This window comes from Homo sapiens, chromosome 18 (assembly GCF_000001405.40).
Source record: "Homo sapiens chromosome 18, GRCh38.p14 Primary Assembly".
Taxonomy (NCBI): domain Eukaryota; kingdom Metazoa; phylum Chordata; class Mammalia; order Primates; family Hominidae; genus Homo; species Homo sapiens.
In genome coordinates, this window is record NC_000018.10 from 25,827,385 (window position 1) to 25,839,758 (window position 12,374).

Sequence of the window (12,374 nt, forward strand, 5' to 3'; positions counted from 1 at the left end):
CCAGTGTCCACATGGCATTCTCCCTGTGTGCATGTCTGTGTCCCAATTTCCCCCGTTTATAAGGACACCAGTCATATTGGATTAGGGGCCACCCTGTTGTAGTATGACTCACCTGAACTAACTGTATCTGCAACAACTCGATTTCCAAATAAGGTCACATTCTGCAGTACAGGGGAGGGAGAAGTGTGGATTTCAACAAATAAATCTCAGGGGATGCAATTCAACCCCTAACAACATTTCTGTAATAAAGGGGTCCATCCAGGATGGGTGGAGGACCAGCTTTACCCACAATGATCCAACCTGCTCGTTCAGAGAAGGCTGAGCTTTCCACTCTGTCTCCCCCACATCACAGAGCACAGCACATAATAAATGAATGAATACTTGTTGATGGTTGATTAATGATACATTTTACTCTAAAATTTAAAAAGCTTGTGTTATCATGTTGAGATAGTTTGGGATTTGTTTGTGTGCCAGCAACAGTTCCCGTGCTTAGTAGCTAGGAAAGGTTTAAATCATTTTTGGGTCTGATATGATTAGTTAACTGTTCCCAGAGACCATGTGGAAAAAAATAGCTGGCATCCAACGCTGACCCAGCCCCCTTTGTCTCCCTCCTGGGTCCCAGAGGCAGCAGAGCTGATGAGCTCAGACGAGGTTGGCAGAGGTCACATTTGTTGAAGATCCGCGAAGAGATACCGGTGAAAGTGCGGCAGCAGAATGCAGCCATCCAGGCCTCCAGGCAGCTCAGCCCCCTCGCCCAGCCTGGGGACACACAGCTGCCCGCTCCAACCTCAGAGGGGCAAATTCCCCGACATCAGAGAAGCCGCCCTGGGCCACTAAACGGAAACCTGGCTAGCGAGGAAGCAGCTGGTCTTGGCAAACAAAAAATAATGCCCCAGGCAAAAACAAAGTAAAAGGGAGCCTGGAAAAGCTTCATTCTGAGGAGCCACTCCCTCCCTAACCCAATTTTTAAATCCAATATAAAATTCTAAGGCTATTCAGAAAACACCGTGGCAAATTCCTTCAGTCTAAATTCTCTGTGATGAGAAATTCCTAGAAGGCTTTTCCTTTCCTTTCAAAACACTGGACAATTTTCTCCAACAGTATATCTCACATTGTGGCCAGCCATCTTGTTATCTGTTACTCTTTTTGAATGTAACACAGAGAACCACAAGATCTTGTGGAATTTCATTTCTGTGTTACATAGCATTGCATTTTGAAGTAGTGTTTATTGTTTTCCTTTTATTTTTATCTCATGAAATAAACTATTCATGACAAGCTACTTTTCATTGTTAAAATTATATTTATGTATGCACATATAAATATAGCAATCTCTTATGAAATATATGTTTAATTGATTTATTAGTTTCCCACTGTGCTTAAGAACTCATGAACCTGAAATTAGCTGTGCATAATGGTTCTTCTGATAAGAACAGCGACTCTGCAGATACAAATGAAACAAAGCAAGGTGAAATTTTCAGAGAAAGATCTAGTCAAGCTGTTTAGAGGTCTAAAGCACACATTTTGTCATTCTTACTGATGACAATAATAATAGCTGAAATTGATTATTGAGTACATACTATGTGATAGGCAGTGTGCTATGCCTTTTGTACCTACCTTAATTTAAATCCTTTCAACTCCATTGACAATGATTGCTTAGAATCACTATGTGATTTAACCATCATCACAGCTAGTAATTGGGAAGAGTTGGGATTCAGACCCTAGCTCATCTAACTCTAAACCCCAGGCTTAGTTCAATATACTACATGGATTAAAATAGGGACAAACACCATTAAAACATTAATCAAAGCTTGAAAGCTATAGGCAAATATCACTGGTATATTCTTTTAGAAAGTTGATTTATAACAATAACGCTGTAAAAAAAAGATAGGCAAATTCCAAAGGGTAAACTGAGGCATGTGGCTTTTTAGAACTTACTTTGAAATACAACTGTGGATATATGAAATATCATTTTCACTCTTTTGAAGGTAAGTTCTGGAAGCACTGGAGACTTATAATGATAAAAATTACATGATAACCTTTTATGCAACAGGCTTATTGAACACAACATTAGGTGAGTGATGCTATTCTAACAAGAACTAGTCATGCTGGGCTAAATTTTCCAAGAATGCAATTTAAGCCCACAGTAAGGTGTATTATAAAATGAATGGGATACCGTGGTTCAAACACAGCCCTCCGAATGGTCCATCTGTGGACCTTATCTCACCAATTCTCATTAAACAGTGATTTCATTTCTCTCCATCATCACAAGCTCCACTCCTGGGCAGTGTTCAGCTGCCTGGCTGGTCTCACGACACATGCAAATATGAATTAAAGGCGACCGCACCACAAGACTGAGGAGAGTTCAGTAATACCCTTCCCAGTGTGAAGCACAGGGCCCCAGCCATCACAGATGGGAAAAAGAAATTGGTGGTCCCAGCAGGCCCTCTTTTTATTACCCCCTGAGGCCTCATTTGGAGCATGACTGTCACACACATGCACATGCGCACACACACACACGCACATATACACATGTACATACACATATCTAAACCACTCTACCTCCTCTTTCCATCCCAAGCACCTGTAAGGTTAAAGATGTGTTTGGACTCTACAAAAATAAAATCCCAAACCTTTACAGATACCTTGTCACAGACTCTCACTGCTCCTCGGTGATACTTGTAAAAGGAGTTATGTTTTCCTTATTATCTATATGGGGAAAGTGGAGTGTGAAATGTAAACATCTGTTTAGAGCTAGAAGGAGAGTCAAAGCCAGAATACGGGAGTGGAATTCTTCTGTCCTCTGACCTCCTACAACATGGAGTTTTTGTAACTTTCCTACAGCCCTCATTCTTTATCACAACATGATAAAGTTTCTTGTACATTCGTCTTTTCTCCCTTATGGTACAATAAGCCCTTCAGGGTGGAGAACTATTTCTGGTTCTCACCATATCTAGCAAGGTGCTCTCCAAGATTAACTGTGCAAACTCCACATACGTTTATGGATTGTAACAAGAGGGCAAACAAGATACTAACAGTTCTTGTTAGCTGGATGGAGTGGGGGAGCACTGGCAATTGTGGCAATGGTTGAGCATTAATGGGTTTCCTTTACGATATACACATTTTCCACCAAATCTTCTCACTGCTGGTCACCATGAACGGAAGACAGAAAGCACATGAGTGAAAGAGAGAAAATATACACCATGGTGATTTCTAAAGCAGCTAGTGAAGGCTGAAGTAAGGGTGAGTGTGCAAGATAGCCATTGGAAGTACTCACCCATTCAGTTCTGGGTGCCCTGTAGCCCTACCAACCAATTACAAAATATATATATTTTATATATATATTTTTTAATATATTATATATTTTATATATATTATATATTTTATATTTTATATATTTTTATATATATTATATATATATTCAGCTTGAAGGAAATCTCCTGCAAGTCACGTGTCTACTGGCTGAGATTAGTCTGACTGTGGCCCAGACAGAGGTCCAAACCAGTCCTGAACTACACAAGGCACAGCCTAGGGCTACCCATGCTTCTCATTCTGTTAAAGACCTGGACTGCAAGTCTCAAAGGCCAGCCATGTAGTGAGTCATCTGCACTTTCCAGCCCAGCCAAGCCTTGGATGGCCAGAGCCTGAGCCAAGATTACAGGCAGCAAAACTGCCCAGAGCTCTAACAATCCACAGAATCCTAATAATAAAGTGGTAGTTGTTTTTAAGACACTAACTTATGGCGTGCTTTGTTATATAGCAATAGGTAATGAGAATAGGTCATGGATTATTTGTTACATAGAATAGATAATGAGACTGATGCCTAAATAAAACAAGATTTGGGGAGGAGGACAGGGTGTTATGGGGAGGGGTGAGTGTATTTTGCACGTGGAGGGACATGAATTATTGGCAGCAGGGTGCAAACTAAGGTAATCACTCTTCAAAGATGCCCCCGCCCCCCGCAGTGAATCACGCCTCCTGTCATTCATGAGTAATATATAGTCCCTTTCCACAGAGAACGTGCGATCCAGAGAATGTGACAGAATCACTTGGAATGGCTTCCAAAGTTATGTCATAAGCAACCTTGAAGATTTTGTTCTGGGGGAAGCTGTCTAGTGTGTCACAGTCCAACTACCCTGTGACAACATGCTAAGGACAGACCCATGGAAAGAGAAAAATGTCTGGTCTGCCCTCCTCCAAGCCAGCCTTCAGCTGCAGTGCCAAACATGGGGGTGAAGAAGCCACTTGAGTCTCCTGCCTTCAACTGATTCCAGCCTCAGCTGTGTCTAACTTCAATCACATGAGACACTCCTGGCAAGAATCTTTCAGCTGAGTCCAGTCAATCCACAGAATTTGGAGAGATGATATTAAGTTGTTTTTAAGCCAATAAGTTTTGGGTTTGTTTACTACGCAGCAAAAGGTATTTGTTCAAAATATTAGGTATGTACAATGTGAATATCTCAAACCTTCTGGTTCTTTTGCATGCAAATATTTTCTGCTTTCAGCAAATGCAAAATTTGGTATGTCCTCTATATGATCAAAATGTCAACAGATCATTCCTATCCAGGTTCAGAGACCAAAAAAAAAAAAAAGTAAAGAGAAATCATTAGGCCTTGGACTTCAAGTGCCCACTTACAAGAAATTTCCCCTAGAAACCTTCTGGACTATAAACCCAGCAAATTAAAGAAGTCCCTAAATTATGTAAAAGACTATGCTGTATTGGAAAGTTGAACCAAAGGAGCAGCTGTGGAAGAACAGTTGCTAGGTTGTGTAAGGAAAAATAGTGGGCTCGGGAGCCATAGCCAGCAGTGCAGGGAATGGGGTCATGCGCCCCCATGTGGCAGCAGAACTGCCTCCCCAGCCAGGCCTTGGTTCTGTCCAGATTGCTGTCTATCTGTCTGTTACTCAGATGCAGATGCCCTCTCTCGTGGCACCCACTTATCCCCAATTTTCTCAGACATTTCTGATCTCAGACATGCACATCCATCCTAGAATTTCTTACCATATGAGATATCATTCTGTAGCTTTGTATGGAGGCATTGTGTAGGCTCTGAAGAGAGATTGACCTGATTTTGAAACCCTGCTCTGTCCCTTACTAGCTGTGAGACATGGGTAAGTTATTTCACCTCTCTGAGCCTCAGTTTCCCCATTGATAAAATGAGGATAATAATGGTGCCTATATGATGGGAATACTGAGACTATTTCATGCACAAAGAGCCTCAAATATTGAACACACTCAATGCTATGGTCTGAATGCTGGTGGTCCCCAAAATTCATATGTTGAAACCTACTCTCCAATGTGGTAGTATTAAAGGAGGGGACCGTTGGGACGTGATTAGGTCATGCTGGTTCCACTCTCATGAATGGGATTAGTGCTTCGATGCGACAGGCCTGAGGGACACAGAAAGGTAAATATCGCACATCTTCACTCATATGTGGAAGGTAAATAAGTTGATTCACAGTAGAGAGTAGAATAGTGGTTACTAGAGGCTGGGAAGGGTAGGGGAAGGCAGGGATAGGGAGAAGTTGGGTAATGGATACAAAATTACAGCTAGATAGAAGGAATGAGTTCTAGCATTCTATAGCACTGTAGGGTGACTATAGTTAACAACAATTTACTCTATATTTTCAAATAGCTGGAAGAGAGAATTTTGAATCTCCCCAGTAAGAAGAAATGATACTATTTTAGGTGATGGATAAGCTTATTACCCTAATTTGATCACTATGCAGTGCATACAAGTATTGAAATATCACACTGTAACCAATATATTTGTATAATTATGTGTCAACCAAAAATTTTTAACTGTGAAAAAAAAGAGGCCTGAGGGAGCTTGTTGGCCCCTTTCCCCATGTGAGGATACAGCTAGAATCATCATCTGTGAGAAGTGGGCCCTCACCAGACACGGAATGTACCAGCGCCTTGATCTTGGACTTCCCAGCTTCCAGAACTGTGAGCAATAAATTTCTGTTGTTTATAAATTACCCAAGCTAAGCCATTTTGTTATCGCAGTCCAAATAACCTAAGACAATTAGGTATTATCTTATTCTTTAGAAATAATGTATATTTTCCTCTCTCTTCCTCCTCCTAGGAGTTGCACATACTAAACAAATATTGCTGGAAGACACCGAGGCCCCTTTCAGCCTAATTCCCCACAGGATTGTTAGCCTGTGCCTTGGGAAGATGTAATTATTTTGCAGATAATTCATCCCAAGGGCAGAACCACTAAAGACATCTTCCCCGCCTCACCCCACCCCAGCCCTCCCTCAGCGTCCTGAGAGGTAGTGAGAAGCCAGAGAGCAAGGGAACAAGAAGCGAGCTCCTGAGCATAGTGAACCAAGGAGGAGATGAAGGACACAGGAAAGGCCCCCAGGAGGGATGGGGGAGAAGGGGATGGGAAGAAGGGAGGAGGAAGTCCCTCTGCCTATGGTGAGGGTGCTGGACCAGGGCCCACACTTCTGAGATAAACAGTGGGAGGCTTAGGCGTGGAACAGAACAGAAAAACCACTCACTTCTCAAGCCCTCCTTGAGGGCTCCACAATGGTTTGGAATACATTACTTAAATCTCAAACACAAGACATCTTGGGTCTTAGAGTGGGCGCTTGGCTAGCTAACAGCAAGACCTCTGCAGCCTGGGATATTGGGCTACAGCACAAGGGCATACTGTTATGTTTTCCACACCGTGTAAGTACAAATCAGAAAAAGTCATTTCCAGACCATACATCCTAATTTGCAAGGGTGAGCAGAAATATGCTTTGTGACCTTTTTTGCCCCAGTGAAGTCAAGCGTCTCCGATGAACATCCTTCTATAGCCTCGTGGTGCCTGGCTAAAGCAGGCGGCACTGCCCCAGGCCAGCCATGCTTGGGGAACCACCCCTGAACGCCCTGGGAACTCTGCAGAAGCTGTTGGGCAAAAGCTCCCACCTGGTTGTCACCCTTTGCTGGTCACTGCTGCCTTGCATACGTTCTATGGCTTTGCTCTGCTCCCCCGGGACCTGCAGATTTCTGGTTTACACCCAGATTGGCTGGATGTATTCAGCCTTTTTCTAGGCAATTTTCTCCTGCCTGTGCCATGACAATACCCATTCTCCTTTGCCTCCCTAAGCAGCTAGACCCTCACTAGCAAAAAAAGCATAGGGAAAAGCTGTTACACTGAAGTTCCTCCCATTGGGACAGTGATTTGGAATCGCCAAGGATTTTCACATTTTCTTTCATTTGATTCTCTCAACAGGTGTTGTTAGCTTTTTTTTTTTAGATGAGGAAACTAAGGCAAAGAAAGGTCGAATGACTTGTCCAAGGACATTCATATTGTCCAAGGTCATAGCCGGCAAGTAGCAGAGTAGGACTCAGGCTATAACTGCTGGAGACCAATGTCTAGATGAGCCACAAACTCCCTCACCCTCCTTTCCACTGGTGCTGCCACTGCCGAGGTTCAGTACATCCTCCTGTCTTGCCAGGGCAATCAATCAGCATGGTGTCCTCACCGTCTCCTGCAGTATCCCCTGACAATTGCCTGCCAGGACATTCTCCAATTACAGTTATATTATTTCTTTACTTAAAAACTTAGAAGCAGTGACACAGCAGCAACAATCACACCCAGTGACCAGATATTGGTTTTTAAATACCATTCTTCAATATATGCAACCAAGCCTCTCTGGAGAAATGGCTGATTCCAGGGCTGAGACAGGGAAGATACAACATACACAATATGAGCCTGGAGCATCTTGCAATGCCAGAAGGTAAGGAAGTGCACAAAACACACTCAGAGACACCACAGCCACAATGACAAGGGCAGGTCAAAATGACACAGGAGACAACCTCAAAGAATTCCCAATGGCCAGAGCAAGAATGATTGAAGAAACAAAATAATTAACACTAGCATTGGTTATAACCCAAAGGATATCCAAAGAATTAAATGAGTATCTGTGAGTCCATACTGATATAAATAAATGACTGAATAAATAAATAAGTGAAGAAGAAAGGACAAATATTCCTTACAGAAGAATTCCAAATAATAAATGTAAAAGGAATAATAAAGAGGAAAATCACTATTAGGACACCACAGTAATGATTGCTTCAGGCAAGATTCACTGATGAATACTAAAATTAGGAGGTGAAATATTAAGAAGAAACAAGATATCTGCATAGCCTCAAATTATCTCCTCTATAATATTTATTAATTACTGTGGTTGTTTTAACATATGTCCACCAATTATTTGATACTCCTCTCTCCAGGAAGTGGAGCTTAACACCCCTCCCTTTGAGTGTGGGCTGAATTTAGTGACTTCTAAAAAACAGAGTAAGAAAAGGGAAAAAGAATATCATCGTAGCCGGGTGTGTTGTCTCACACCTGTAATCCCAGCACTTTGGGGGGCCAAGATAGGCAAATCCTTGAGTCCAGGAGTTCGTGACCAGCCTGGACAACATGGCGAAATTCTGTCTCTACAAAATATAGCAAAAATTAGCTGGGCATGGTGGTGCACACCTGTAGTGCCAGTTACTCAGGAGGCTGAGGGAAGAGGATCACTTGAGCTCCGGAGGTCGAGGCTGCAGTGAGCCATGATTGGTCCACTATGCTCCAGCCTGTGTGACAGAGTGAGACCCCCATCTCTCTCTCTCTCTCTCTCTCTCTCTCTCTCACACACACACACACACACACACACACAAACCAGAGTAACATTGTGGTAGAGAAATTTGACAGACATCACCTTAACCAGTGGTCATGGTTCATGTCTCCAGTAATAAGTTGTGTTAATTTCACGTATCCCCTGATACCATGCACTGACAGGGCAATTCACCTCTGTGGCATTCTTCCCCCAAATCCATAAGCCTGGGCTAATCATGACACAATATCAGATGAACCCAAATTGAGGGACATGTTACAAATACCTGACCCAGACTCCTCAAGAGTGTCAAAGTCATGGATAAGAAAAGATTGAGGAATGGCCACAGATTGGAGAAGAGTAAGGAGATGGGACAGTTAATGCAATGTGAGATTCTGAATTTGATCCTGTAACAGGAAAAGGGCATTCTTGGGGAAACTGACAAAATGTGAATAAAATCTTTAGTTTAAAAACAAACAGGGCCAGGCCCGGTGGCTCACGCCTATAATCCCAGCACTTTGGGAGGGCGAGGCGGGCAGATGACGAGGTCAGGAGATCAAGACCAACCTGGCTAACACATATTTAAAAACCAATATCTGGTCACTGGGTTTACTTGTTCCTAACCCCATCTCTACTAGAAATACAAAAAAATTAGCTGGGCGTGGTGGCACGCCTGTAGTCCCAGCTACTTGGGAGGCTGAGGCAGAAGAATTGCTTGAACCTAGGGGGCAGAGGTTGCAGTGAGCCAGGATCACCCCACAGCACTCCAGCCTGGGCAACAGAGCAAGCTCCATCTCAAAAAAAAAAAAAAAAACAACTTCCAATGTCTAAACAACAAAGTACAGACTCCTGAGTAGGGCACACAAGACCCTTCTGAGTGTGACCCGAAACCCCCTCAGCCCCTCTTACCACCTCCTGCATTGTGCTTTCCTCCCCAGCCATTCCACACCAAAGGAGGGCCAGGAAACCCCCATCGATCATATCATCTTGTCTCTTACTCTTTCCATATCTCATCCCTCCCACTGGCATGGCTTCTGCCCTCTTCTCCACATGCCTACTCACTTGTTTACCTGATCATTATCTTTATAAGGCTCAGTCTGAGAATTGCTTCCTCAATGAATATTACTTTGACCATCCTCATATCCCAGTGGCCAGTCTTCCTCCCTTCCTGTCTCCCTCTCTTTCATTGACATGGGGAATCTCATACCTACTTTCATCAGCATCTATAACATTTTAGTGCATTTCTGTAAGTGACTGTCTTCCTTGTCTAGGTAATAAAATTCTTGAGGAAAGTTGATCTCATTCATCTTTTATAGCTTCAGAATTTAGCACACTGAATGAATTAATGAATGAACAAATGAATGAATAATGAATGAACAAATAATGAGCAAACTCACACTAGGAATTTATTGGCTAGAAATTCATAGATGTGTAAATTCATCTCAGCTCTGTAGACATGTTTGAAGAAAACTTTTGCTCAAAAAATTTCAAAATGCTTTGTGGGAACACATGCATCAATTCTATAAACACACCTTGAGCTCAGCAGAAATACTGACAAAGAGCCAAGCCTGCCTCAAAGAAGCAAGCCTCACAGAGGGCCGAGGCCCTGGAGCTCACCTCTGGACACTTCATTCCCTGTACTCAGCCAGCTCAATTAAAATAGCTTTGCACAGAGCTGCACTGGGCCTGCTTTAAATGCACAGCATTGGCCAGCCACAGTGGCTCATGTCTGTAATCCCAGTGTTTTGAGAGGCTGAAGCAGGAGGATCACTAGGCACCAGGAGTTCAAGACCAGCCTAGGATATAGAAAGACCCCATTTCAACGAAAAAAATAAAAATTAGCCAGGCATGGTGGTGCATGCCTGTATTTCTAGCTACTCAGGAGACTGAAATGGGAAGATCACTTGAGCCCAGGAATTCAAGGTTACGGTGAGCTAAGATTGTGCCACTGACCTCCAGCCTGGGCAGCAGAGCAAGCCTTGTCTCAATAAATAAATGAATGAATACATAAATAAAATGCACAGGCTTTATGTCAGTCAGATCTCTACGTTGAAGTAATAGACCTTTAAAAACTCTCCCAAGTCAACCGAGTTGCTTCCTACTGTGGTTGCAGAATCAAAACTCCTTTTCCATGGCATCTTTCAACAAACATATATGAATTTTGAGTTCACTGCCATTTATCTGGGCATCTTTAGGAATTCTTCTATATTCCTTCTTACAATGTGAGCATTTGAGTAAGTATATAACCACACCTCTTATAGTAGGAATTTGCACTCTCATTTGAATGTTGAGGCAGCTGGCTTTCTGTGTTTTTGTTCACATGCTGCCTCAAAAATAAAACAGCCGTTAGAACATGTGGAAAAGGCAAAAGTAAAATAAAATAACAGCAGAAGCCATGCTTCTCAAGGTGTGTTAAGGACACAAGAATAGTGTCTAAAGTTGAGCAAGAGTTCTCCAAGCATGAAGATCATTAAGTTTGGATTGGTCTGGAAAGAAGATAGAATTCATTGATCTGACCATTATCAATAAATGTATCCATTAAGCACCTACTGCTTAATGTATGTATGTAATACATACATACAAAGCACTGTGCTAAAATTGTGTCAGGTGCACAAAGGCTTAACATTACTGTTTATACCATGACAGGAAGAGCAGTCTAGGGAAGGAGAATAGTAAATGCATTTGAAAAGATGACTAACATGACAAAAAATATGGTTGAAGTTCAGCTTCAAAGATCCCTGTCTCTCCTTCCCAGGGGATGCTGGACAATAAGGTTTTGTCTTAGGGCATCATCTTGACAATAGAGATAATAGCCTCTACAGCAGTCTCTGCATATGACCAGGGCTCAGAAATGATCCTATGTCCCCCAGTCTCAGTTTATCCATCAAGGAAAACTGGCTTCCCACTTCCCATTGCTTCAGAAAAAGGGCACTTCTCTCTCATTGGCCAACACATTCCTAGAATATAGGCAGAGGATAAAATATCTAATTACCTTTTAACTCAACTATGTTAGCTAACTGCAGGGCAGGAGCACAATAAATCACAACACTGTCACAGTTGGGTTCATTCAGTTGGGTCCATCCAGTTAGCCAGTACAAAGTTATCTCTTCACTCATGAACTCTTTTGAACCAATACACAATCACCATCTGAATCTCCAATATTATGGCCTTCTGTCTTTTCAAAACAGAGGAAAAATGCACCTGAAATGGGAGTTTTTCACATACAAGCTTTTCTTTCCATCTCAGTCCCTGAGCTACAATAGCCACAAAGAGAATCTTAAGAAAAACACAAGTTTGATAAATGTGTTCTGAAGGAGTTCAGAGATGGGCAAGTTTAAAGAGAAGTTGAGGGTTCAGCTTAGCTTTGAGGAATAAAAAGACATACAATGGTGATGAGAAGGACAGATATTCCAAGCAAGCAGAGCAAAGGCACAGACAGAAATGCATTGGCAGGTTCAATCCCTTCCTGGACTTGCCAATGCAGGGACAATGGGAGATGTGGTTAGAAAGTTGGGTTGGCAGCATACGGGGATGGCCTACAATGCCAGGAGAGGGACTTTCCTCTGTGAATGTGAGACTGGGAACCATTTTTGATTTGTGGTGAGAGGACAGCTACATTGAGGGCAATGTCTTAGAAAGCATAAATGTGCTGCCTGGATGGATGATGAGGTGCTGGAGGCCAGAGGGAAATAGTGGAGACTTTAATAGCAGTTTGAATAGAAAGGAAGGAGTGTTGTGAGAAAATTCTCTACACTCAGATTGGGTGTAGAGAAAAA

At 42.5% G+C, this 12,374-nt stretch overlaps 2 annotated features.

The window, feature by feature from the left end:
• Nucleotides 213–714: an enhancer, noted in NCBI's record as "H3K4me1 hESC enhancer chr18:23407561-23408062 (GRCh37/hg19 assembly coordinates)". NCBI's record gives its function as "activates a minimal SCP1, AML or CMV promoter by ChIP-STARR-seq in naive H9 embryonic stem cells {active_cell/tissue: H9 hESC(naive)}" and the evidence as "EXISTENCE:reporter gene assay evidence [ECO:0000049][PMID:30033119]".
• Nucleotides 715–1,214: an enhancer, noted in NCBI's record as "H3K4me1 hESC enhancer chr18:23408063-23408562 (GRCh37/hg19 assembly coordinates)". NCBI's record gives its function as "activates a minimal SCP1, AML or CMV promoter by ChIP-STARR-seq in naive H9 embryonic stem cells {active_cell/tissue: H9 hESC(naive)}" and the evidence as "EXISTENCE:reporter gene assay evidence [ECO:0000049][PMID:30033119]".